The sequence below is a fragment of the Homo sapiens genome, chromosome 10, assembly GCF_000001405.40.
Source record: "Homo sapiens chromosome 10, GRCh38.p14 Primary Assembly".
Classification (NCBI taxonomy): domain Eukaryota; kingdom Metazoa; phylum Chordata; class Mammalia; order Primates; family Hominidae; genus Homo; species Homo sapiens.
The window spans coordinates 129854328-129880758 of NC_000010.11; the positions used below are offsets into that span (position 1 = coordinate 129854328).

The 26431-nt window shown below is 49.4% G+C and overlaps 1 protein-coding gene and 1 long non-coding RNA gene across 17 annotated transcripts in view, besides 1 other annotated feature; one reads left to right on the forward strand and one right to left on the reverse strand.

Annotated features, from left to right (window-relative positions):
• Positions 1-26431, reverse strand: part of EBF3 (EBF transcription factor 3) — a 129042-nt gene that overhangs the window by 19095 nt on the left and 83516 nt on the right. For 9 of the 16 annotated variants that reach the window (XM_017016027.1, XM_006717744.3, NM_001375391.1 and 6 more), the window contains 4 exons: positions 23441-23522; positions 19125-19269; positions 13455-13585; positions 12814-12940 (listed from right to left, as the gene is read on the reverse strand). In XM_017016027.1, coding sequence (XP_016871516.1) covers positions 12814-12940; positions 13455-13585; positions 19125-19269; positions 23441-23522 — 485 coding nt within the window. The remainder of the gene's footprint in view (positions 1-12813; positions 12941-13454; positions 13586-19124; positions 19270-23440; positions 23523-26431) is intronic. The other 7 variants (XM_047424961.1, NM_001375392.1, NM_001005463.3 and 4 more) reach the window with 2 other exon arrangements.
• EBF3-AS1 (EBF3 antisense RNA 1) lies at positions 2802-12818 on the forward strand. The gene is made up of 5 exons (XR_946466.3): positions 2802-3434; positions 3923-4099; positions 5819-5956; positions 8885-8996; positions 12556-12818. It is a non-coding gene; the product is annotated as an EBF3 antisense RNA 1 (long non-coding RNA).
• Positions 12379-13043: an enhancer, noted in NCBI's record as "H3K4me1 hESC enhancer chr10:131664970-131665634 (GRCh37/hg19 assembly coordinates)". NCBI's record gives its function as "activates a minimal SCP1, AML or CMV promoter by ChIP-STARR-seq in naive H9 embryonic stem cells {active_cell/tissue: H9 hESC(naive)}" and the evidence as "EXISTENCE:reporter gene assay evidence [ECO:0000049][PMID:30033119]".

Here is a 26431-nt window from a genome sequence, read left to right on the forward strand (position 1 = left end):
GATCCGGGCATGATGATGAGAGGTAGCTGGAGTTTCAGGCGGCTGATGGCTCCTCACATGGATGAAAAGCGGCCAGGGCAGCTGAGAGGAGGGCTACGTTTTAGATGGGTTTTTGCTTTCATATTTTGTCCGACAAAAAAATTAATTTTTAGTCTATTTCAGTAACAAGCAAAAATAGAAAAAAAAAATCTGCCTTCCTGATACGACGTGTAATACCCCGCTTCTTAAGAGCACCTAATGCTTTGCACATTAACGCGGCCATGGAATGAAATCGGTTCCCTCTGCAGCCGATTGCAGGTGCAAATTAATATTGTAAAATGAAGATCAATGCATGGACAGGGCCAGATCAATAGTGGCTAAATTATTGCTGCATTTTCCTCCTCATTCAAGATGAGTTGTGTTTTCCTCTCAAAGTCAATACTTTGCAGCTTTTCTCATTAATTTCTCAATAAATTTGGCAATGAATTTCAATCACAGCACTCGGCAGGGTGAGCCAGGCATTGTGGTGTGCACGGGAAGCACAAAGGCCTTGCAGCCTCCGCGTCGTTCACCAGGGGCGCTGCCCGCGGGGGCCGGCCTGGCTCCCCAGCCTGGCAGGAAGACGTCAGGTCACCCTCCTCCTACACCCAGAGGCAAACCTTGTGTTTGCCCTCACAGAAATGACAGTGGCTTTTCTAGCATCCTGGCCGCTCCCGTCCGTGGAGCTCCCCAGTGCCAGCGGGGGATGGCTCAGACCTGCCTAGGGTCACCCTGGGTTTCACACCAGTGACTCCAGCATCCCCCCAACCCGCTCACTGCAGGGTATTTCTGTCGAAAAGTCTTCTAAGGTTGAGAAAAACACTTGACTTCTAATTGGAATTAGAGCCGCCTCCTTCGTATCGGGAATATTGTTCTGGAATTCACACAGACAGCCCAACCGGGCCTCGTGCACAGGGACCAGCTTCCATTCACCACTGCCTGGCAGTGGATGGCGGCATTGTGATGTGACACCAGGCACAGAAAAGGGGACAGCTCATCTTCCTTGTACCAAAATAATACCCTTGCTGACAACTATTGGATTGCATTCAAACAATTCTGTTTACATACCTCAAAGAATACATTGGATGATGGCTTTTATAGTCGTGTGGAAACTACATCTACCCAGTCCAGCCCTGCAGCTCGGAAAACTAAGGCACGTGGCCTCCTCACTTCTCCGTGGCTTTCGCCTCTGGGGACGGGACTGGGGGAGACAGGCACTTCCCAAGGCGGAGGTTCTGAGGTCGGGAAGTGGGCCCCAGGTATCCTATAACCCTCAAGCTCCCCAAGAAGGCTGTTCTAACGTTTTAACCTAAGGGGAGAAATGCCTGGAAACAAAAGGAAGAGACACCACCCAGTAAAAGCCACCCTCAACATGATAAAAAGATGTGTGCGATTGAATGCTATATCCTTTTCTTTAAAAAAGGAACATCAAGTGTCCCTCTGCTGCCACGCCTCCCAGAGACTTTTTGCAGGGAGGAGAGAGGTCTTAAGAACCAAACAGGAAATCTAATGCTCTGTGGAGAACCCTCTGAGCAATGGATTTGCACACTTTAAACCAGCGGAAAATCTGCACACAGAGGTAAACAGAAAAAGGAGTTGGCAAAGCCCAAGCCCCTCCCGAGGCCAGAGGTGTCCCTGCCAGGGTTGAGGACAGAGGCATCCCTGTCCTGTGCTCTGGGGTGGGCCACACTCCCGTGGGGACGTTCCCAGCCACCCCATGCACTTGTTCAGGCATCTGCCCTCCCCATAGGAGGAAGGCCACCCAACAGGTCACCCTCTGCCACGTGCCTGCCCTACTCAGTGCGATGTGCACAGTAGGTGTTCAAGGTAATGAGTAATGCAGGCCCCTTGGAGACATCTGGCCAACACAGAAGGTATCACATTTTCAATTTTGAAAAGCCAAAGTGAATGTCATGTTTCCATATGTTCACAAAAAAAAAATGTATTCACACATGTTCCTGGCAGTGTTTTCCATAACATCCAAATGTTCATCAATGAATGAATGGATAAACAAAATGTGGTATATCCATACAATGGAATAATACTCAGCCATGTACAGGAGCAAAACCTTGATACCTGTTACAACAGGGATGAGCCTGGAAAACACGCAAAGTGAAAGAAGCCAGACACAAAGAACTATATATAATGTGTGGCCCCATTTATAGGAAATATCTGGAACAAGCAGATGGATAGGGAAAGGAGGTAGATTCATGGTTGCCAGGAGCTAGGGGAGGGCAGGAAAGGAAAACCAAGGCACAGGCTGCCCTCCATGCTCTCACTTCTCTACGGCTGTCACTTCTGGGGACCAGGACAGATCCAGAGACAGACGCTACCCAAGGGAAGGAGGAATGGGGCAACAGCTAGTGGACACGGGGTTCCTTTTCGTGTGAAGAAAACATTGTTGAATTAGACTGATGGTTGCACAAACTTTGTGAATATACGAAAAGCCACTTAATTGTATACTTTGGGTGAATTCTGTAATATGTGAATTATATGTGAACAAAATACAGTGTTTTTAGTGAAACTAACGTTTCTCATCTGAATTAGAATATATGTGCCAGCTCCATCTGTACTAAGGAAATATCTTCCAGGGCCGGAGTGCCGTTTAGAATAAAGATGTGTCCAGTGCCTGTGTAAAAGCACAGGGCTCCGCACAGGTGTGAACAAGACAGAGCCCAGCAGTGGGGGAAGGGCCTGGTGTGGGGAATCGATTCCCATTCAGGGAGCATAACTCTGTTTCCCAACATTATTACCCTTTTCAATCTCCATGGAGGCATTTTTAACTCCTGGTTTTTCAGGCTGCATAAAGAAGAAAAGGAATGTTCTAAGGCAGAGACGCTTTAAAGACATCACCAAGATTAATGTAAACACTGGAATCCCCAAAAGCACAGCCCTTGAACACAGCATGCTGGATTATGTGTCTCCTATAAAACCGTCCTATTTCCACATAGGGGTTCCCAAATGCCAAGGTGTACTGGGACCAGAAGGCCATCGTGTCCTCATCTGACCTCCTTCTTGCCACGGCAGCCCCCAACCCAGCCCTGGGCCTCCCCCCTCACAGCCCCATGCCCAGCTGGCACTCCTTGGCCTGGAACTCCTCAACGCCTGCTGCTCAGCCTCCAGGGGTACAGCCTCTACGGCCACCTCCCAACCATCTCCCCAGGGCGCCCCTCCTCTCAAATCTGCCAGCGCCTCATCTGCTCCTCTTGTCATCGGATGGAGTGCCTTCTCCATTTTGACTATTTTATTAACTTTTCCATGTCCCGCTTCATTCCCGCAAGACCTCAAGTCAGTGTGATAGCAAATGTGGCTTCTGCACCAGACACGTGCCAACTGCCATCCAGATACCAGGCCCCGGGCTGCCAGGATGGAGACTGTCACTTCCCTTGGCAAGGGACCCACTGCCGGGTGGGCAGGTATGTCACCCCACCTGATACCCCCACCATGAGCGCCTATGAGAACCAGTAGCTTCCCCGCCTCTCAGTATCACCTACTGTGTCCAGGTAGGAGAACACTGGGAGCCAGGGGCAGATTCCAAACCATGTTGATGGCGAGCTTCCACAGCACGCCACACCTTCACATAAGACACCGTGCTCACACTACGCTTGTCCTACAGATCATTCCCGCCAGCTGGCATTTTGCAAATACACAGGAAAGGCGAATCACCGATGTTGGTGGACTCTGGGGTGGTGAGGAAGGGGAGCAGTCCCCTGGTGAACACGGGGCTCGGGCACGTGGCAGGTGTTCACTATCATGGTGCCACAGCAAAGCCAGGGCATGGCCTGGAACCCAGTCCTTGGGGTTGTACATACCAAATGCCAGCTTCCCTGGGCAGTGGGCATGTGAAGCTGCAGCCCAATACCCTCCGTGGTGTCTGCCGGTGACACGTTTCTCTCCCTTACAGGGTATTAAGACTCAGTGGACTTCTGAAACAATCACCACCCTAGCCTATGGCCTGTTTACAGTCTTTAGTTTGGGACAGGCCACAGCCTGATGCCAAGCATGTGGTAAAGCAGTCTCGATGCCACCTGTCCTGAAGGCTGTTCCATCGTAAGAGCCCTGGAGGAGCCGCCACCCTCAGGTTGGTGCCTGTTTGGAAGCTCAGTGCCCACAGGCCTAAGCTTGGGTGGGATGTTTCTGCAGTGTGAGCATGTTCCTTAGGAAAAACACCAAGTGGGTCTTCCGAACTAGGGCTAGAAGGGATGGCCATCAACAAGCATCTGACTGACCCCAGCCTGGGTGCCTGGGGCTGAGACAAAAAGGGCCAGTGGGGAGATTCCCAGCCAAGGGCCTCCTTTAGAGAAGACAAGGAGGTAAAAAGATGGAGAAAAACCTCGCAGAATCCACCCTCCCTAATCCGACCCCCTGGATTTCCTGACTTTAGGCTTCCTCAGATGCCTAGAGTGCGGGTCCAGGCCTCAGAGGCTCCAGGGCTCACTGTGCCAGGCTATAAGCTCTCTATCTGGGAAGACACAGAAAGGGCTATCTCAAGAGTGCAGGGAGAGGGTGGCATCCAGAAAGGAAAGGAAGAAAAGAATGACCCCGGCCACGCAGTACCTCTAAGAAACTTTCCTCCCAAGATGATTTGCACCAATGCTGACCAAAATCTGCCACGGCCTCCTATCTCAACGGGAGCTTCTCTATTTAAAATTTCGCACGCTCCGTAATGACCCTTCGAGAGTGTGCCCTCTGCACGCACTTAGGTTCCTTGTGAAGTCAAGTTGCTCCATGTGCTCGTGAAAAGCATCTGAAAACTTTGATTTTGCCTTTTAGTGTAGCAAACAGTCCACATCGCTGACAGACAGCCTTCTATTTGTTGTTGTGGCTTTATTTCAAAGCCACTCTAAAAGACAAAAGTTACGTTTTACTCATTTTGCTTTTTTTTTGTTTTGGAGATGGAGTCTCAGTCTATCTTGCTCAGGCTGGAGTGTGGTGGCACAATCTCGGCTCACTGCAGCCTCCGCCTCCCGGGTTCAAGAGATTCTCCCGTCTCAGCCTCCCATGTAGTTGGGACTACAGGCGTGCGCCACCACACCTGGCTAATTTTTTTTGTATTTTTAGTAGAGACAGGGTTTTACCATGTTGGCCAGGCTGGTCTTGAATTCCTGACCTCAGGTGATCCACCCGCCTCAGCCTCCCAAAGTGCTGGGATTACAGGCATGAGCCACCACGCCTAGCCTCATTATGCATTTTCTACAACAAATTAAAAAGGCCCAACTGATTGAAATGATAGTTTTGTAAAAGCACTTTTTCTCAGGCTAGGCTTTTGTAATCCAAGCCTCAGCCTAGAGCCAACGTGCACAGACAGGTCTCAGGACCCTCCAAAAACAGCCTCACATGAAACCACGAGCAGCCAGGCTCCAGCACTGTCACTGACCCAGCTGGCGGGGCACACGCTGGAGCGAAACATAGTCTATCGATTCCAGCCATGGGCTGTTAGCACTGGGCCTGATGTCCAGCCGTGTAGATTTGGTGGGAGGGAGCTTGAGGCACTGGTAACTTATAAGCCAGAAAGAGAAACAGAGGCAGTGTTTGGTTCTTGTTCCTATTTTTCCAGGACAACAGAGTGATCTATTTCACCTCCTCTTTGGTGCTGAAAGAACCACGCACTTCTGTTTCAGGTCCTCTACCGACATGTTTGTGCTGATGTCTCCCTTGGTCTTCAGAGTTTAACCTGTGGGAGTTGTGGCTGGAGTGATCTGTGATATTTAATTTTACATGTTATTATCCCCGCTTTATTCTGCACTTCAGGTGATCACACTTATTTTGTTCTAAATGGTCTGCTGCTCTTCTCCCACAGTCCCACACCATCTCCTGGACCCACTCCAAGCTGTTTTCAGAAGCACGTCCTACTCAATCAGAAACTCAAAAGTCCGGAGTGTGATCCCGCTCTACCCCCGACTCTCCTCCCTGCAGCACCGAGAAGGACCATCGCAAGGTGGGTGAGGAGCGGGACCAGAGGACCCACCTACTCAGGGGGCTTAACAGGAAGAGGGCCGGGCCCGCCTCTGCCATCCTCAACCCAACAATTACCAAGTGAAATCCAGATGACCCTTTTGTCCTTTGGGGAAGATGAATGGCCGTCCCCTGTCTGCTACATTTTGTCAGGTTTGGTGCTGAAGAGTCAATACCTTCACCTTGACATGGAAACTTTGTGATTTATCAGCTCATTTCTCCTCCTGGGTTAGCGTGGCCCCGATGAGAGCAGCCAATCGGGGTGCAGGGTGCAGACTTGGTCACAGCCACTTGGAAAACGACCAAAGCCCCCTCGGATGACAGACAAATGTGTCTTGTTAGCAATAGCCCAAAAGCGCTTGACTTGTACTAATAACAAAAAGGCCATGCTGGTCACCGTGGGTCTAAAGACGAAGCACCCTGTCACCAGCCTGGTTGGGAAATTAGCAAATAATGTTCTTTTCCTTGATAAATGGGTGACAGCTCCCTCTCACCAATCATTTTTAACATGTTGATGCATGCCTATGATCCCACTGGAGGAGCAGAAAAGTTTACTGGCCCTCAATTTTCAGATGATGAATGGAACTCTCTAAATGTGCGATTTCTGTATGAGGTATAGTTCATTTTAAGCAATTCTAGTAAATGGGTGTCACTGATTAGGACAAATAGTCTACTTGTGCAATAGCACAAACGGTGTGTCTCATTCTCCTGGCCTCCTTGGAGACAGGAAAGAGAGGGGACAGCAGTGACCCTGGAAGCCCTCCCGGCCCCACTCTTCAAAGGGCCGTGTTATCGAATCTCACCCCAGCACCCACTTAGCATGCTGGCAGATTAACTGATCATGGTTTGGGTTGATGCTGTGCCGTAGCAGTGGGGAGGACAGCGGTGGGAGCCTGCCCTCCCTCCCTTCCTTTGTGGCTCTGCCTAAGGGGCCCTGAGGACCCTTGAAATGACCCCAGTGATGGCAGTGGGCCTCACTCCCAGGGGAAGGGGCTGAGGCACAGATGCACGCCACCCCACTTGGTACGAAAAAAAAAGTCACCCTTTGCCATCCATATTTAAACAAAGGACAAAAACTAAAGTGGCGTCAGGAGAAGTTGTGTTGTTGGAGTCACGCATTATCTTGTGATTATCCCGATTCTGGGCAGGTCCAGAGTCAGCCTGAGCTGAACACACAGACCCAAGCTATTCTCTGATAGAACCAACCTGATAGAAAAGCAAAGGTGCCTGGAGGGTGTCTATTCTTGGGGGGTTCACTGGGGATCATGGGGGGGACACAGACATCCTTGGACACCATTGACTGGTAGGTTTGAAGCAGGACAGCCAGTGTGGCTGCAGGAGGGCCCACTGCAGACAGGAACGAACAGTCAGCCACGGGGGGCCCCTGGCCACACCACGGGATGATGAGAGTCACTGACAGAATTGAGCCAAAGATTCCCCAAACTCCAGGACCCATGAGGAAAGCATGTGGTTTACATGGAAGGAAGGCATTAGCATTGAGTTGAGCATAGTAAAAATAGTATGATTTGTGGGCGGCAATTAAGCATCATTTGCTCTGTGCATCCAAGTAATTTGTTTGAGGAGCACCGGCCTGGGAGACAGCAAGCTGGGGCTGGCGTGGTCGAAGGGCACAGTCGACTCCGCAGTGCTGACGGGACCGCCTCTCAATGCACACAAAAGATCTTTAACACACTTAAGAACCATGAGTGCTTTCACAAGGGGAGTGAAGTGGGACTAAATTGTGGACACCCGCCAGGAGACACGGGAGAAACCCTCACCCAGGGCCAGGACAGCCCTGGAGGACACAGCGTCGCCCCTTGACACACTGCCAGTTTTAAGGCACATTATGACTTTAAAAGAAAGAAGAAGGAAAGTAAACCATAAATACTGTATCAGAAAGAACAGAAACTGTTAGCAATTACTGGTTGAGTAACGATTTCATAAGCCTGAAGCTGAATGAACGTCCTTGTGCAGAAAATAATCACTTTTATGTTCCCATCTAGTAACTGCATCCCAGGGCTGGGAGCGGTCCAGGTATTCCGCCGTCAAGAGCTCCCTGTGTCCACTTCGGATGTGGTTGCTATCGACTGCCAATATCTTGTTTAGTAACTGGGTTCAGTCTGTCGCAGACAACATGTTGACTCCCAGTAATTTGTGGTAATTTCTTTAATCGAGCAAAAGAAATCTCTAAAAGGAGGGTGGGTCAATCAACCATCCGGGTGCAAGAAACCAAGAGTAAGAACACCCGACCCAGCCACGTCCCCAGGGTCCCATGAATGATGCTGGAAGTCAAGCCACCTCTCCCAACCGGCCTCAGTGCTTTTGTTTAATAGGAAACCATTCTGCCAAATGGACACTGTTGGAAAACAGTAACACACGCATTTGTGCCATGATGCTTCACACTTGAAAACATGTCTATGAAAGTAGTTTCCTCAGTAACATAATTTCAATTAGATGCATACAAATTCCAATCTGTCTTAATCAAATAACACTGTAATGCTTATATTCTAATTAAAAAATAATTTCTTTTATTACTCTTAACCATTTGATGCGTTTCTACGGGTGAAATTATAAATGCGAAACTGCCCAATTTGTGTATACTGCGAGTTTCTCAGGTAGGACATTCTGGGACTATTTTAATTACTATTAAACAAGCAAATGGCACACTGTTAGACAAATATTAAAACAAGCATTGCACTCAGTTATTAATTTGCACTATTTACTTTTAAATGCAGCAAATATCTCATTAATTTAATTTTAGGTGCCCACCAGTTTATATTGCATTTTACAGTCTAGAAGGCAATTTACTATTAACTGGCAATTACATACAGAGTGATTGTTAATTCTGCTCCTAAGTGCTAGCCGCTTGAAAATTGTTCTCTCTCTCTAATTTCTGACCTTCTTACAACAGGGTGAGGCACATGGGAATACAAAGAACCAGTATGGAAGCGCTGGACATGTCATTTGTGACTCATTCTTTTAATTCACCGTGCTAATCAACTGAACCGCCACAGCCTCCCAAGGTAATTGTGTCTTTATAGGAGTTGAAAGCAGCAGGCAAAAGGGCCTGGATGGATGGGGCCTGGCCTGCCTTCCCCTTCCCACTCGGGGTTGACTAATAGGGTCTGGTTCAGAAAAATCTGGTGTTTCTCAGATCACTGTAAACAGATCATTGAGGCCCTTTGCAAAGCCCCTCCCAGCCTCTGGCGGGCGGCCCCTCCTCTGAGCACAGGTTCATTAGCCCTCCGCCTGGCGGCCCCAGCCGGCCTCACGTGGGGAAGGTTAAATGTGAGGGTGTCCCGGCAGCCTCCGGGGCTGGGGGACACTGATGGGAACCAGACGCCCAGGGGACGGTGCCTACGTCGTGACATGCAAAGGGGCTGGCTCAGTTTTCAGCGGGGGAGTGCAATTCCCGGTGATTACCTCATTGTCCCCATCAATTTTGGGGCAATGCAAATCAGACAGAAGCTTCCAGGTCAGACAGGTCATGACCCTACCTTTCCTCTGCTCCCCAGCCTGTAGAGCCTGTATCCCTTACATCACCTTTGAAATGGATATTCCTGTTAATGACTGGGGTGTGGGGGAGCCAATAGGTTAACCTCCAGCCAGGAAAGGCTGGGCTGTGGCAAGCATCACCAAACACCCACTCATGGGAGCATGTCTCGATGGAGGAAATCCCTGAAGCTTCGGGCAGCCAGGACCCTGAGCTTGTGCCTGAGAAGCCCAGTCAGCCCCAGAGTGGGCACAATATGGGCTGCAGATATAGAAGGTGGGCACTTGGACAGGCTGGGTGGGGGCTGGAACTAAGGGGTCCACTGGTCCCTTAGTAGGAGGATATGAGACCTGGAGAGGATATCCCTGGCCAAGGAAGGCATCCTACCTGGCTGGAGGGCAACAGGAACAGGCTACAGACAGGAGAGAGCTGCCCCCTCCCTGCACCAGCCCCAGAGCAGCAAAAGCAGGGCCCGGCCATGCTGGGAATTGGGGGGACGCTGACATCACAGGCTCCGCCACACCATGTGATACCTGCCAGCCAGTGACAGGCAGCTCCTCCCACCCTACACATCCGCAACTGTCTCCAAATGCACAGCCCAAGGCCTTTCTCTGCAGCACTGGGGACAGAATCCCCAGGAGACAGCAGGCAAAGTGCAAAGAAAGGACTGGACCTTTCAGCAATCTTCTTTCTTAAAAAAGTCTCATTTCTAACAATAGCTGTGCAGACTTCCCCACCAAAAAGCCCACATATGCAAAGATCTGAACTCATGAAAGGATCCACTGAAGGCATCCACTAAAGCATTCATCCGGGATGGGCTGACAGTCCAGTGTAAGAACAGGGGGCTTATTCATCCATTTTTGTGCAGAGGAAGTCAGTCTTGCCACATGCAAACACATGTCACTTTCATGTCACAAACCAGGACCCCGCAGCAGACACAGGCACCTACACAGGAGCCCACCCCTGCCATGTGCCCGCCGAAGCTCAGGTGCTGCTCCATGGCTCACAAGCAATAATCAACACCCGCTTTCCTAAGGAGCTCAGGACTCGAGCAGAGTCCCACAGAACCCAGCCGAAGTTCACCCTCAGTGACTTTCCACAGGAAGGACCATTTATGGAGTGCCTGCCATGTGTTAGACACTGTACATAAGTCATCCCCGATCCTTGCCAAAACCTTGCCAGATAGAGCAGAGGAGAAATTGGGACCACAGGAGTAAGCATATGCCCAGGTCCCAGTCTGTCTGCAAACACCAGGTCTTTGCACGGGGCCTACAGCCTCTACAGCCAGATGTGCCAAGGGACTCAGGGGCATGTGGTACACATACCAACAGTTTGCACAGGAGGCATGTGGAAATGTGCACCGTGTGGCTTCAGCACACACCGGCAAGGTGCCAGAAAGGACCCCCCAGCCCACGGTGGGATTCTGACATCTCGCCTTTCCCAGGTACCTGGGGCCTACAGATGCTGCACTTTGTTGCACAGCAAAAGTTCTTAATTGTTGAAGTGTATATAAGTGTTTAAAAGGTTCCCCAATTTTTTGAACCCCATTGTGACATGTCTTTATTTTTTTAAAACACTGGGATTCCAAAACCTAGAGGAGCAGCCCTCTCTCCATCTCAGAGTCTTACATGGAAGCCAAGAGGTGTCCGGACATCAGCTCTTTGCTATGCCCACCTCCCCTGTGGTCTTCTGGCAGCTCCTGAGCGCCTGGTCCTGTGTGTGCTGGTCCCACAGAAGGTGGCCCCTAGTGTGGGGCAGGCACTGCCTCTCCCATCCTAACCACATGGAGAGTGCTGAGCTGTCGACTGGACACCTCTGGGACAGCAGCCCTGGCCTGCCACCAAGACCCATCCAGGCACACCCTGGGGTGACGCTGGGCCTGATGTACAGTGGGCAGCGGCAGGATTTATATCTTGCCTTTCTTGCTCACTCCGTCCTTCCTAAGAAGGGAAGAGGCTGAAGGACGTCTATTGCCTCTTTAAACCTTCTGAAAGCAGAGGGGGCTTAGCATCCTCCATGTCACCCGCTCTCTGGACAGAGGAGAGGACTGTGTCCCATTGGGCGTCCTTCAGGTGGTGATGGCAGGAGTTGAAGCCCCATCCTCTAGTCCAGGTTCCTGCTGTGGTCCTCATGGCCACCCCAGGACACCAGGCCACAGTCACCCAGCCACTGCACATGCAGGTCAAGCCCACAGATAGTAAGTATTCATCTTGCTCACTGTCACTCGGTTCCAGCAGGCACTGTCCATCATTAAAAACATCTCTCAAATGTCACAGCCTTTGGAGTTGGCTAAGATTAGAAATCAAAATGCAAACATGCCTTAAGTTGAAGTGAGTTGTTTGTTTTGAGATAGGGTCTTGCTTTGTCACCCAGGCTGAAGTCCAGTAGCTCAATCAAGGTTCACTGCAGCCTTGACCTCCCGGGCTCAGGTGATCCTCCCACCTCACCATCCTGAGTAGCTAGGACCACAGGCATACACCACCATGCCCCACTAATTTTTAAATTTTTGTAGAGACAGGGTTTTGCCCTGTTGCCCAGGCTGGTCTTGAACTCCTGCACTCAAGTGATTCTCCTGCCTTTCAAAGTGTTGGGATCACAGGTGTGAGCCAACATGCCCAGCCAATTTGAAGTTTAGTTACGGCATTTCTCAACAGCAATCCCGAACAAGTGGGGCTAATTCAGCCCTTGAGTGGACAAAGCATTGTATAGAACAACTGTAAGATAGCAAGCATGTGTAACTGCATAGGCCACACTTCCTGCTGACAGGAGTCTGTCCCGCACCCTCAAAGAATACGGATCTCCTTTAGGAAGCAGCGTCATGCAGGGTTCAAGACCCCAGGCTGGAGCAAGAAAGACCAGGCTTACATGGGCCTTGCATTTACCCGGGGTGTGGCCCGGGCACTGACTTCATCACCTCTCTGAGCCTCGGCCTGTGCAGGAGAACAGCAGTGACACCACGGGGAAGAGGCATAGAGACCGGTGGACACACGGCCCCTAGCCCCACATGGAGCCAGGCATGTGGGCAGCTGCCGCAGTGGTAGCTGGGTGGCTGTTGTTCCTAATGACTCCCCCTGCCACTTTGTTTACAGGTGAGAAGCCCCACAAAGGGAGAGAGGTACCGAAGGTCACACAGCCACGGGGGCTGCCCCATCCACGGCTTCATACGCCATCTCAAACAAAGATGTGGAAACTGCATATCCAGCTAAACCCACAGGCCAAGGGGGCTTTGTCTGTCTTTCCACAGACCCCTGCCCTCTCTGTACAGTCCTCCCGTGCCCTCATGAGCACCTCCTGGTGGGGAGGAGGCCTCTACCGCTTTCCCGCAGAAGCTGGAGCTGTGAACTCACCGGTGTAGACAAAGCGCCCAGGAGCACCTTTGCAGAACTGCTTGGATTTGTAGGAGAGGGTCACTTCGACGACGCCAGGAATGTGCCTCGGCGGGGTCTGGACTCGGATGGCATGGGGAGTTATCAGCTACAAAAACCACACGGTGAACAGGCGCTCAGCGGCGCTGGCTATGAGAGGCGGACACTTGCCAGTTGGATATAATTACCAAAATGAGCACAAATTGGACCATCGTCTTGGAATGCCCCCTCCTAGCTGTCACCCAGAGTCCCGGGACCTACAGTGTTTTTTAAGAAAAATATCTGCAAATGATCCCAGGTTTTAGTTTGCAGGAAAGGCCACAGGGCATCATTCATATGAAAATTGCCACCATATGTCTCCTTAAACCTGCTTCTCGTAATTCTAGCACTAATTGTTCCAGTGGACGGGGGACCTCGATGGCAGGTTTTAAACCCCAGGGCTGCAGGGCAGGGGGGTGTTCCGTAGCCACCCACGGGAGAAGCTGCTGCCACAGGCGAACAGTGCAGTGTGTTAAAAGGGGAATTTGCCATAGGGCACCTTGTGTCAATACACTATTGACAGCTTGTCAAATCCATTCATGAAGACAGCAACAGCGCGAAGCTGACCGAGTCCGCGGGCTTACCTCGCTCCACACCAACATAGTTCCGAATACAACTTGCAGCCCGTCAAAGAAGTTGTCGCCAATTATGATGACGGTGGCACCCCCCGTGGTCCAGCCTTCACTGGGACTGATGGCCTTGATGCACGGAGTGGCTGCTCACACAAGACAGAGAAGGCAGACCTTAGAGCCCCGTCCTCCTCCGACGCTGGGCCGCTCGGCCACCGCGCGTCCCGCGGCCACCGCGGGAGGAGAGGCGCGCCGTTCCTCCAGGCGGCACGCAAAGGGCAACCGTAGATCAGCATGTTGATGTGTTTAAAGCAAACTATTAAATGTTTTATAAAGGAAAGGCCGAGCTGCGGAATACTAGTGAGCGAGAAAAAAATGGCTTGATATAGCAAATTATGTGTCAGCGCAAATATGACTATTACAAATGATTAAGCATTGCATGCATGTGGCATGTCGATTTATCTGCTTTGCTGTACAGATCTAAGCAGAGTCAATCAAAAGGTTGTTGAAGGAGATGGAAGAGCAAATGCCTTGCATTTCGATTCCTCATAAGCAGCTAATTGGGTTGGGTTTTTTCATCCGCGAACTTTGCCTTTTAGTTCAAAACTTCATTTTCCTCTGTCACTCCACAATTACTACTTTTCACTTTTCATCAGGAAAAAAAATCAAAGGCACTATATTAATACTTTTGTCAAAGGTACACATTTTACATCTAATATTGTTTGTCGACAGGGATCCCCGCGCCGCTGGCGTGACCTCTCTTTGTCTCGGGAGCTCTCGCATTTGCATGAGTTATTACAATGGTGCTGCTGCACCGGCCGCAGAGGCAGCCCTGCTGGGGCGGGAGGGGTTGGGGGCACACAGACAGCAGAAGGAGGGTGCAGGGGGGAGGGGACCAAGAGGCCACAGCCCAGGGAGACAGGCAGGCAGGAGTCCCAGCACGGTGCCCTCGGCAGCCTTGAGCAGGAGGCCAGGGCCGGGGCTGAGGGCTGCAGGCCTGGTGGAGGCCGGCTTTGATCAGCCCTTCCTTTACATGGTGTTGGCAGACCTTTTAAACTGCCTTTGATGGCCTCTTGTACATGGGCTCCCATGCAAAGGAGGGGTTGTTTGCATGCCTGCCCACGCCTGCCAAAGCCTCGGAGCCTGTCACCTGCAGGGCTTCCGCAGCCCGGGCCAGGACACTATCCTCAGGACCCTCAGACTACTCTACCCTTTAGGTGAGCTGGGAGGTTACCTTTGGTGCACAAGGAAGAATGGGCCATGTAGGCCTCTGTAATGGTTGCCAGGTGGCCTCTTCGATGTACAGGTCTCCTTGCTGATGTTTGGACACAATTACACCCTAAATGGCGGGAGGCCCAGGCCTCAGTCCTCCAAGAGAAGAGGAAGCCTCTACACTAAGCCCTGGGACACCCAGAGGTGGCATCCCTTCTTTGTCCTGCCTTAGCATTTGGGGGTGTTGGGGGTTAAAGATGAACCCTAGAATAAGGGACTCAACCCTGAGGCCCGAGGAGTACCCTTGCTGTTTTGGTGCCCTTCCGTCGCTCACAGCAACCTCGAGGGCTACTGGCCCAAAAATGTAGTAACTAAGCTTGGTAAACAATTAGTGGCTTAACCAAGCCACCCGCCCCCCACCACCCCGCCAGCTCCTGGCTTTGCTCCCCCACGGCTCTCCAGCTGCAGACAAGAGCCCTCCAAAGGACATCTTGGGGCCTTATTAGGTTGTTCATCTTATTTGAGCCCCTGTGCAGCTCGGCTTCAGATAAATCATCTTTTTAGACTCTGGGTCAGATCCGGTTGCACATCTTCATAAGCGGGAGTTTTCCGGAAGCCCGCGTGCCGTGGTTTCCCTGACAGGTCAGAGGCAGCGCCGTGCAGACACTGTCTAGTTAATCACCATTAGCTATTGTTGTTTAGCACACCGCCGACATGCCACCTTCCTTTGTTTGCTTTAATGTTGGACTAGCGGGGGTTATATTTGCTCATTCCACGCGCATCTCCCTCCGCAGCAGAGGCGCAGAGCACACACTGGGAACCTGCCCTTAACTAGCGCTGTTGACTTCATGCTAATAAGTTCATACAAATTTTCATTTCTGAGGCTTCCGAATGACATTTGCTTTTCTTAATTGCATGGAGAGCATTTGAAAAGGATCAGCTCTCTAAAGACTGACAAGTCTCCTCCAAGGGGGTGACCTTCATCAGCACAGCCAATTATGGCAAATAATTCACAAAAAAAAAAAATTACAGTAAACAAATTTACTTTGGAGGTGAGAAAAGAAAAAAAGAATCCAGGATCTACTGCATGCACAAGAGACTGCTATCTGGCAGCTGTGGCCCAGTGGAAAGCCACATCATCTCGGAATTTGTAGTGCTTCTCAGCGGAAAGAAAACACGGGCCTGCCTTGGCCTCCTCCACAGTGATAGCCATCTTCCTTCTGCCTGTATTTGCATACATTTCAGTGCACATATAGAGAGGGAACATGTGTTCAATGGGAACCATAGCAAAATGAATTACACAGACAGCGTTAGAGATCTAATGATATACGCGCACAATACACTCAAGCAGATGACAGGAGCTGGGCCCGGCAGCTGAAGATGGCAGAGGAGGAGCAGGGAAGCAGTGGGGACAGGGAGCCCCCACACTCCCCATCTCTTTCCCGGCCTGGCCCTGTGATGGGAGGCATCCCTGAAGACAGATCCTGGTCTGCAGCTTTCAGCGTGGCCCACCCTCCTGGGGCCCCGAGCTGCCAGGGTCCAGAGAAAGGAGGCGTGGCGAGTCTCCCCTGCGGATCTGACATGCGCCACCATGACCTGTTTTTAACTCTGAGGATCCTCTCAGCTACTTGGGAGAAGAGGCGCTCACAAGGAACACCCTCTGCCCATCGTGACCCCCGCCGGCTCTCCCCAGGGCCTGCGGGGACTGGCTTATCCTGTGGCCAGGGAGCCCAATGGCTGGGATGAGCATGTCAAAACGGGAGCGTGACTCAACTTGGAAACCCGTGTTGGAGACCCATATCTTTGGGTTTTTTTCCTTTCTTTTGGGGTCTCTCCACCCTATCCAGTATTCTATTAGTAAACAGCTTCCCCAGCCTGGTCCCATTAATCAGCCCTCCTGAGTAATATCACAGCATTTGTCACCTTCCTCTGCATTCACAATATTGAGGCACTCAAACAGGCCTAATCTTGCCTCATGAAGACTTCTTTGTTCTGCCTGCTAAAATGTCTTGTAATTGTGCTTGGGATGTCCAGATGGCTGGCTGATACTCCAGCTGATAGGATTATACCTTTACCTCTCCTAGGGCCATCTGTTCGCTTTAACTCGCTAAAGCCCCGCAGCCTGGATTCAGTTGTCCTTATTGCATAAACCTAACCGCATTACGGCACTTGGCATGCAAATCGCTTCTGTGCTGCAGGCCGGGTGCTGGGCAGGGCTCGCGGAAGGTTTAAACAGGGTTGGAGTCGTTTACGAGGGGACAAGTGACAAGGAAAAAAAATTAAAGCCTGAGTTCTACTGTGTTGTGCTGAAAGGGAGAATGGTTGTTTTCCCTCACTTGTGTTCAATACTGTAAATAATCTGCCTTGCTTTTTGTGAGCTCAAAGGACGCCGTGGCAGACATCCACAGCAGCAGCAGGGGGAATTCGTTTACTTGGAAACCATCAGCGACTGTGTACACACTGCTGGTGAATATTAGATGATTGGATAATGAGGTGTTAGCTAGGAGAGGCTGCACGCAAGCACAGATCTGCGGTTTTGGGGGGCACTTTCCTTAAAGGATGTGGGACTGATGTAGAGCCAGCCTCCCACCCCTGCAATCTGTCCTGAGCAGGCAGAAGGAGGGAAGGGGTTTGGGGGACAAATATGCGCAGACTTAAAAGGAACTTCCTAAGTGTCAACTCTCTCAGGAAGTGACAGAAGCATAAGCCCTGCCATTTTTTTCTAGGGCACTTGATAACTGGGTATTAATTACAAAAAAATAAATAACCCTACTATTTATGACAAATGCCTTTTTCTTAACGATCTGTCTATGCTAGTCCTCAGAGTCACCCTATTGGCATTTTTAAATTAGTAGTCACTTTCTAGGGTGGGACAAGATATTTCAATCTCTTGCAAGGAACTGACTTGGTTTAAATGTCGAGAAACAAACAGGAAAAAATCCTGAGCAAGACTGCTTCTGCAAATAGCTTTTGATTAGTTGGGTTTTATCTCCAAGGTACCCACTAGTGGCCTTTATTTCTCTAAACGCTACATTTTCTGCTTACAGTCAAATGCTTTTTCATGCTACTTACAAAAATAAATACTTGTACTTTGCTCAGATCATAATAGCTCATTAGAGGAGGCTGATTTTGGACCTAGACTACAACCTAACACCAGAGGGCTGGGGAGGCCCCTTGAACCTATTGCGTGAAAGCTCCACTCTCTAGGGAAGCGAGGAACTGAGGACCGGGGATTCAACCTTCTTAATTGTGAACCTCATTAGTGACGGTTGCTAAGCAAAACACACACCTACCTTCAGTGCATGGGAAGGAGATAAACAATACGTCACAGGCTCTAATGACATCGGTGCTTAGGGCGACCTTTAATTATTATATTTTTGTTCTCTTATACCTTAGTCATTAATGTAGAAAAACAAATTAGTTTATTTTTGTGGACCACAGCAGATTCATAAATTGTCTTCCAGTTTTTGTCTGAATTATATTTCACGCTGATAATCTGCACACGCTTCATTCATTTTCCTGTGCGTGCATCTGTCTGCCTCGTGTGTGGCTCTCGAATGTGGGACCTCGGGATAGAGGATTTGTCTTAAAACCATTTAGTTTTACAGGCTCTTTGCTCTAAAGGATTCGATCATGCTGTTTTGTTTGCAATTCACTTAAAAAAACACTCACATTACTTTCTCCACAATTCATATTGGTCAGAATCTCGTAATTATTATGAAATGTTTAATGGGGGAAGTGGCTCTTATTCTAAAGGGGATGTGTTCAATTGTGGGTGCTGTGCAGAGCACAAAGTGGGATGTGCCTGAGGGGCTCGGCGCAAGGCCCACTGTGTCTGAGTCTTTCTGCATTCCGACCTGATATCCAAGAACCTTTCTCCCTACCTACCACCCTTATGGAAACCCTTCTCTTTTAACAAACAAAATAAGAAGTCAATCAATTGAAAGCATTTGGTTAAAAAAAAAAACGTATGCTGGTTGGTATTTCACCCCCTCCTCCTTGCCCCCACTCTTGTGTGAACACGCACATACACGTGGATCACATGCACACGCACTCCAGCCAGGGACAGGAAATGGTCCTGTCCCTTCGGAGCTGACTGGACCAGGATGTAACCACCCACTGGGCCTGCACGAGGTATCTGGGTATGAGCTTCTGGATGGGCGCTTCCGACAAACCAAAATAAAACCAAATAAATTAAAATCGCAAGAAAAGCAGTAAGCAAAAGAACGCCTGGAAACATGAAGGCCGTGGCAGGTGAATGGGAAAGTCCCGCTGTTCAATAAAGGAGAAGAGAAAGCCTAGGAGGGCTGTCTCCCCTTCCACCTCGGGGACACCCCCTCATCCTGCCTTGGTGCAGGAGGTCTGACCAAGGGCGGGGGCCTGGTGAGAGTAACTCCACATGAATGAACATAAAGGATGGTGCAAAGAAAAAGAAGCATCGCAAATAAAAAAAGACATGTAACATGTGCCTACCATTTTCCAGATAAGAAGGGGCCGTACCTTCTGACGGGTCTAGGCGGCGGGCCCGCCTCCCGTGTTTGGAATTGTTGTGCACAAACATGTTGTCTGACACGGCCAGCACGTGGCCGTCCACGTTGACTGTTGTCGATACAACAACCTGCAAAGATGAAGTGGATTTGAAAATGGAATTGGCAAAGAAAAGCAGAGCCCCCTGTTAGGCAAAATACAAGCCATCTTAAATACTGCAGAGCACAAGGAAATTTCACGTGTTCCTGGACACTGTTGATCGATGTGCGTTCACAGCTTTTTTGGCTAATGGGGGTGGGTGGGTTGTTTTGTTTGTTTTGTTTTGACTCAAGATTGCTTCTCTTCAAAACCTGCTCCACTAATTACAGTTTAATCTCCTATTATGCTAACAAGTGAATTCAATTCAGAGAAATATTCTTCTAGCCATTAGCTTCAGAAACACCCCTCTAGCCACTCATTTTAAAGCCGCTGTTTTGATTGATCTGTTCACATATTGATTAGAAAGTTTATCTAATTAAAATGAGTTCACTTGAGACTGGCCTCCCTTGAAGAGCTGGGAGGATTCAGAGTTGCCCAAAAAAGGCTTCATAAATCAGGAACATTCCTACTGCCCACATTTTATCAGGAAACGATCCCTGGGTCAATTTTACAATTACATTTAATGTCTGGTAATGAACTTTTTTTCATCTGAAAAGACTGAGTTGAATATGAATAGTGGGAGTGTTTTCAATCCTGGAAAGGTATTCTTTCTCAAGTTCATTGCAAAGGCTGGCAAGGACCCTGGTATGCCAAGGGAATGTCCTCTCTGTTGCGGTGAGAGGCTTCCATTCTTAGGTCCAGGCACAAAGGATGTCGAGGGGAGAGATCACAGATCAGGCCCTCTTAAGCCCTCAGCTGCCTCGTGGTAGAGGGAGAAACGAAAAGGGCCAGGCAGGGATGGCCTTGCAGACTCCATAGACCTGCCCAGGGGAGCTTGCCACAAACATCCAGAAATGGCATCCCTGAATGGACCCAGGAACCAGGAAATGACAACCTGGCCCTGAGCTTTCTTTAACAGAGGTGGTGCATTCATCCCGGACTAGCTGGAGCTGCAAAGATCTGAGGCCAGGTTTCATCTGGGTCTTGCAGAAGCACTCCTGGAGCTTCAGCCCAGCTCTGACCTGAAGGAAGGGTGGCTCTCTGCCACAGTTTGGGCACACTCGGCCATGTCTTTGAGTCAGCACCACCCGAGGGAACCACAGCCCTACAGAGAATTGTGCGGTGGTTGCACGTGAGTGGAGAAGCGGAAGGGGTTCCCAGTCAGGGTACACCTTCCCTGCAAGGCCCAGACAAAGCACGCCATGCAAAATGAGCTTAAAAGCCAAGGCCACCATAGGCCTTAGTGAATCGCGACACATCAGTGTTGGGTCCGCACATGTAAGGAATCCCCTGCACCAGCATAATCGGGGAAACCAGGGGGAGGGGCGCACGGGGGTACACGGGCGATCTCTGTACTTTCTGCGAAATTGTTTTTAAACCTAAACTTCTCTAAGAAAAATAAAGCCTATTAATAAAATAATTAAACTAGTTACCTAATACAAAATGAATACAATTCATTGTATTCAATGAGTCACTGAATATAAAATAATTAAACATACAAATAAGTAGTATTTTCAGGGGTTTAACAAAGAAGCCAAAGCTTATGTTTATATATGAATACATGTGCAAGTGATGGCTTCTTCTTTTTTTTTTTTTTTTTTTTTTTTTTTGAGATGGAGTCTCGCTCTGTTGCCCAGGCTGGAGTGCAGTGGCACGATCTCAGCTCACCCCAACCTCCGCCTCCTGGGTTCAAGCCATTCTCCTTCCTCAGCCTCCCTAGTAGCTGGGATTACAAGCACTGCCACTGCACCTGGCTAATTTTTTGGCATTTGTAGTAGAGATGGGGTTTCATCATGTTGGCCAGGCTGGTCTCAAACTCCTGACCTTGTGATCCACCCGCCTCAGCCTCTCAAAGTGCTGGGATGACCGGCGTGAGCCACCGCGCCCGGCCGGCTTTTTCGTTTTAAATCTCAGACTCCACAAGATGATGATGCAGCAGGGGCGGTACACACGCATCCCACCCAAATGCCCTCATCGGGGGCAGCTTCCCTGGCATTTCTTCCCCTTGGCCACTGCCAGGATTGTTGAGGTCGCAACAGTGTCAAGCCACCCAGAACCTCAAAAGGTTATAAGTGCTGGCCCAGCATCCCAGGTCCAGCCTTGGGTATCTCAGCACCCTCCTTTTTTGACCACTGCCCACTGGCTTTGCCCTTTGCAGCCCTGGTGGGAGGTGGCTTTGCTGCCCCTTTGGTACCACGAGTGGGCCTGGCAGCCTCTGCCTGGAGGAGCCAAGGCCTGTTCCTGGTCACCCAGGTGCCCCCCTTGTGTTCTACCTCCCAGGCCCAGCCCTGGGCATTGAAGACACTCTACAAATGCATTATCTGAATATGATGCAAAGATGCGTAACTAACACTGAGGTGCAGACTTAACCCTTTTTACGTTCCTAAACATGATAGGTTAAAGAAACATGAAAAAGTAAAAACAAATTTAAAAAGTTTTTAAAGACACAGGCTTTGCAGTCATCTACATATAGGTCAGCCACGAAGGGTAAAGAGTGTAGTTCAGCAGAGAGAGCAGGCAAGCTGTGCTCTGTGTCTCACCTGGGCTGTAGCACCTACAGAAAGCTGCTGAGATTGTGAAAGCAGCTGAAACTATTGTGTAAGCACTGCCATCCTCCTAGGTCAGTTACACCTTCTGAGAGGCATGGGGCTCAGCTAAAGAGACCAGAGGAAGTTCTAGTAACTACGGGGTCTGCAGTCAACCACGAGATCACCTGTAACTGACGCTGTGTTCAGTCATTGGTGAGACAAAGAGGACACAGCCCCTCAGCCCTGCCTGACTTCCATTCTGCTTAGAAGGATCAATATCACCAGTATCCTGTGAAGCCTAGTGCGTGACAAATGGAAGCAGACCCAACTGTTCGCAGGAAACACTGTCCCCAGCTGCAGACATGACTGTGGGCGGGCCCAAAGAGCCCGCCTCCTCTGACCAGCTGACCGGGCAGGCATGGAGACAGATGTCACGTGATTCACTAAAGGACTGAGGCATAAGTTAAATTTCTGAGAAATGCTTTGAGCTATTTGATGGAAAAACTGGGTAAATCCCAAACAGGAATCATTCTGCTCTTGGGTCATTCATCCAAGCTAGTGGTCATTTCCATTAGCCGCCAAATTCTTCTCTGGCTGGTTTTGTATTCTAGCCCAGACTATTTTTACAATTAAAATTAGCAAAATCATCCAATGTGTTTACCCTGAATTAGCTTCCTAATCATTCACAAAAAAGGCAAGAAAAATATGAATCTATCATAATGGTACATAAATCTATCATAATTCATCCCTGAACCCCCCCCCCCCCCCCACCCAGCTACCCCTCTGTATCCGTCTTTTGGATAAAATCTTCTGAGGCAAACCAGAGACAGGACTTAGCCTGAGTTTAGGAACAGATGCAACTAGCATGGAAAGTGGGCAATAAGAACACAGTAAACCTCGGGGGAAGGAAGCCGAGGCCAGGAAGAGACTCTGGCAGTTGCAGAGGTCTGTACTAAGCAGGTGCAGATCCCTCTATGAGGAGGATCTCAGATCTGGAGTATTCCCAAAAGGTTGCATTATAGTTCTCCTCCCACTGAAAATCAATCCCTCAATCAATCCCAAAAGAAGCACTTCTGGGCTGGGCACGGTGGCTCACGCCTGTAATCCCAGCACTTTCAGAGGCCAAGGCAGGCGGATTACTTGAGGTCAGGAGCTTGAGACCAGCCTGGAAAACATATTGAAACCCCATCTCTACTAAAAATACTGGGTGTGGTGGTGTGCGCCTGTAATCCCAGCTACTCAGGAGGCTGAGGCAGGAGAATCCCTTGAACCTGGGAGGCGGAGGTTGTAGTGAGCCAAGATCGCACCACTGCACTCTAGCCTGGGATACAGAGCAAGACTCTGTCTCCAAAAAAAAAAAAAAAAAAAAAGCTTCCACATGGCCATGTTTTCAAAGCTAAGTTCGCTGTTCGCTATATTGTGCCCACATTAGACTTGATGAATCTGGCATACTGAATATACCAGATCATTCTTAAAGCATTTTATTTGCATATTTTTATCAAATGCACCAATTCCAGTTTGCTTCCAAGCCCTTAAAGAACTCAAGATTACTTCCTGAACAGTTGCAAATCAGAGAATTCAAATTTGGTATGAAAAGTCAGGACCACGGTCCACGTGTCTTTGAGAAATGTATACCTGGAATCTCCGCATATCTCGAGGGTTGCCTGCATTCTTCAAACAGTTCTGATTGCACTTGAGGAAAAACTTTAGAAAGAATCTATAAAAAATACAAAAAGATGATATTTATTAGGGTTATCAGACAAAAGACTCAAACTTTTTAAAAGACACTCTTGCGCAGGGAGGAGTGGAGACTCAACCCCACAGCTTCCACACTTCCCTCTAGGGGGCGACATTGAGAAGAGGCTCTGGGAGAGGCGGCGAGGAGGCACCCAGAAATAGCCACACAGGAGAGCAGTGAGTTGCATTTGCCTTGACGCTGTGGGTGTCCAAGCTTTATGATAATAGCTGCGACTTTCGCATTGGCATTTCTTGGCTCAATCTTTGCACAACTGCCCATTAACCATGGGGGAAACATTCAGCCCAGACAGGCCTACCATCTCAACCCACTAAAAATGAAGGATGCCTAGTTAAATTTGAATTTTGGATAAACAAAAAATAATGTCCCAAAGCATACTCCTCACTAAAAAATTGCTGTTGACCTGAAATGGAAATTTCACTGGATGTGCCATATCTTATCTGGCAACCCTAATTCCAGAGGCTACCACTGCCTAAGCAAACACACTTTTAAATATGGGTTTTAAGAGTTACAGTAGCGCCTGTAATCCCAGCACTTTGGGAGGCTGAGGTGGGCAGATGACTTGAGGTCAGGAGTTCGAGACAAGCCTGGCCAACATGGTGAAACCCCATCTCTACTAAAAATACAAAAATCAGCCAGGTGCGGTGGCATGTGCCTATAATCCCAGCTACTCGGGAGGCTGAGGCAGGAGAATCGCTTGAACCCAGGAGGTTCAGTGAGCCGAGATCGTGCCAGTGCACTCCAGCCTGGTTGACAGCTCAAGGCTCTGTCTCAAAAAAAAAAAAAAAAAAAAAAGAGTTACAGTAGGTACAGCTCTTAAAAAGCAATTGGGGGGTGGGGCAGGAGAATCACTTGAACCCAGGAGGTGGAGGTTGCAGTGAGCGGAGATTGCACCACTGCACTCCAGCCTGGGCAACACAGTGAAAATCGGTCTCAAAAAAAAAAAAAAAAAAAAAAATCTAAGAACTGATTGGGAGGCATATTGTTTTAACCAAGAATTCTTGAGGCGGTAATGAAACTGTTGCTGAGGCAGAAAGCAAGGAACAGCACTCTGCAGGGCTGGGGAGGTGAGGCCGAAGCGAGTGCTATTTCCATTTCCCGCCATGCCTTGCCCTTATGTTTCATGGCATGAAGATTCAGGGGTCCTGACAGTGTGTTGAGATGCTGTGACTAAAACGTCATCATGTTGTCCTCCGCATTCCTGCATGCTCAGTGACATTGCAGGAGAGCTGGCTTCCAGTCTGAACTCAAAGAACCTGGGAAGCCAGGCTCTACCACTACCCACAGGAAAAGTGGGTGGGGGGGTTTCTCCCTGTATAACCTCTGCCTCAACTTGAAAAGGCCACAACCAAGAGGTCCCAGAGCTTGGGTCTGTGCTGAAACACCCACTCTCTGCACGTGGCCAAGCATCCTGTCCAGCAAGGTCATCAACACAAACCTTTCTCTACTTCCTCCCAAAATATCATCTGTCCTACTTGGTGATTATTAATTTTTGATGAAGTTTCACATGATTTTCTTACGTTCAAGGTTCCTCGCTGGCAATTAGAATATCAGAAAATGAAAACACTCAACGGACCAAGACTCATCTAAGTGCCCCCCCAGCATATCCTGGATGACTTCTTACTGTGGCAGAAGAAAATCCAATTGATGGGGGAAAGAGTGGTGGCCACTTAATTAAATTTTCCTGCATACCATGAGGCCTCACCATTTTAGGCCAGAATTTACATCTTTTATTAACTCACCTCACCTATACACTTAGCTCACAATGCCTCTTCACACCATCTGCCATCAGCATACAGTAAGTCACTTGATATTCCACCCACCAATTTTTCCTAACAACCACTGTGCAATTAAACTCCACACGTTCCGCAGCGAGGTAAATGAGGCGCACCTGCGGCCACACTGCATTTGAACTGCATCAGAAAGGGCCTAACAAGGTGAGGGCGCCACCAAGTTATCGTCCTGTCAGGCAATTAGGTTTTCACTTCGGGGACAGCAACACGGTGCAATTACACCACACATTACCACCCAGCTAATCTTCGGAGCAGGCGCCGGCCCGAGAAGCTGCTCATCTGCAAATGTACCTGCACGGAGCCATCTCCAGGAGCTTTGTTTGTGATTTGAGAGATTTCTCCCCAGCTCCAGAGGAGGTTTCTTTAAATTTCTTGATGTCTTTTAGACAGTCACCCTTTTACCTCCAAGAGAACAGAGCGAGTTTTGATGATACCCTAACTAGCCCTCACTCGGCACTGTCATGAAGAGCTGGGTTTGGCATTCTTAGGCCTTCACTGTCATCCTCTGCAGAAATCAGCAGGACAAAGTCGGGTGCTGGACCCCAGAAACATACTGAGCATACCCAGGGTCAAGTCAAGCAGGTGCAGATACACACCTATGCACACATACACACATGCCACCCACACATACACACACATGCCCACACATACATACACACACATGCCCACAGACACACATGCCCACATGCCCACACTTGCATACACACACATGCCTACACATGCATACACAAATGCATGCACACATGCAGACACACACGCGCATACACATACACATGCAGACACATGCACACATACGCACATACATATGCACACACACATACATATGCACACACACACATGCATTCTTGCTTGCTCACTCCCTCTCTTTATTTTCTATGTGGCAATGATAGTTTCTGCTTCTATCCAAACTGCCTAAAGAGCAGTGCAAGTACTTGAGAAAGAGCTGTCGTGCACAACCCTAGAGACCAGGATCCTTTCTGAGCACACAGGTCCCAGTGACACAAATAAAGTAAGCTCAACAGTCAAGTGGCTCCATGCCAGGTTCTTGGGGCATCTACAGGGACGGACAGAGGGGAA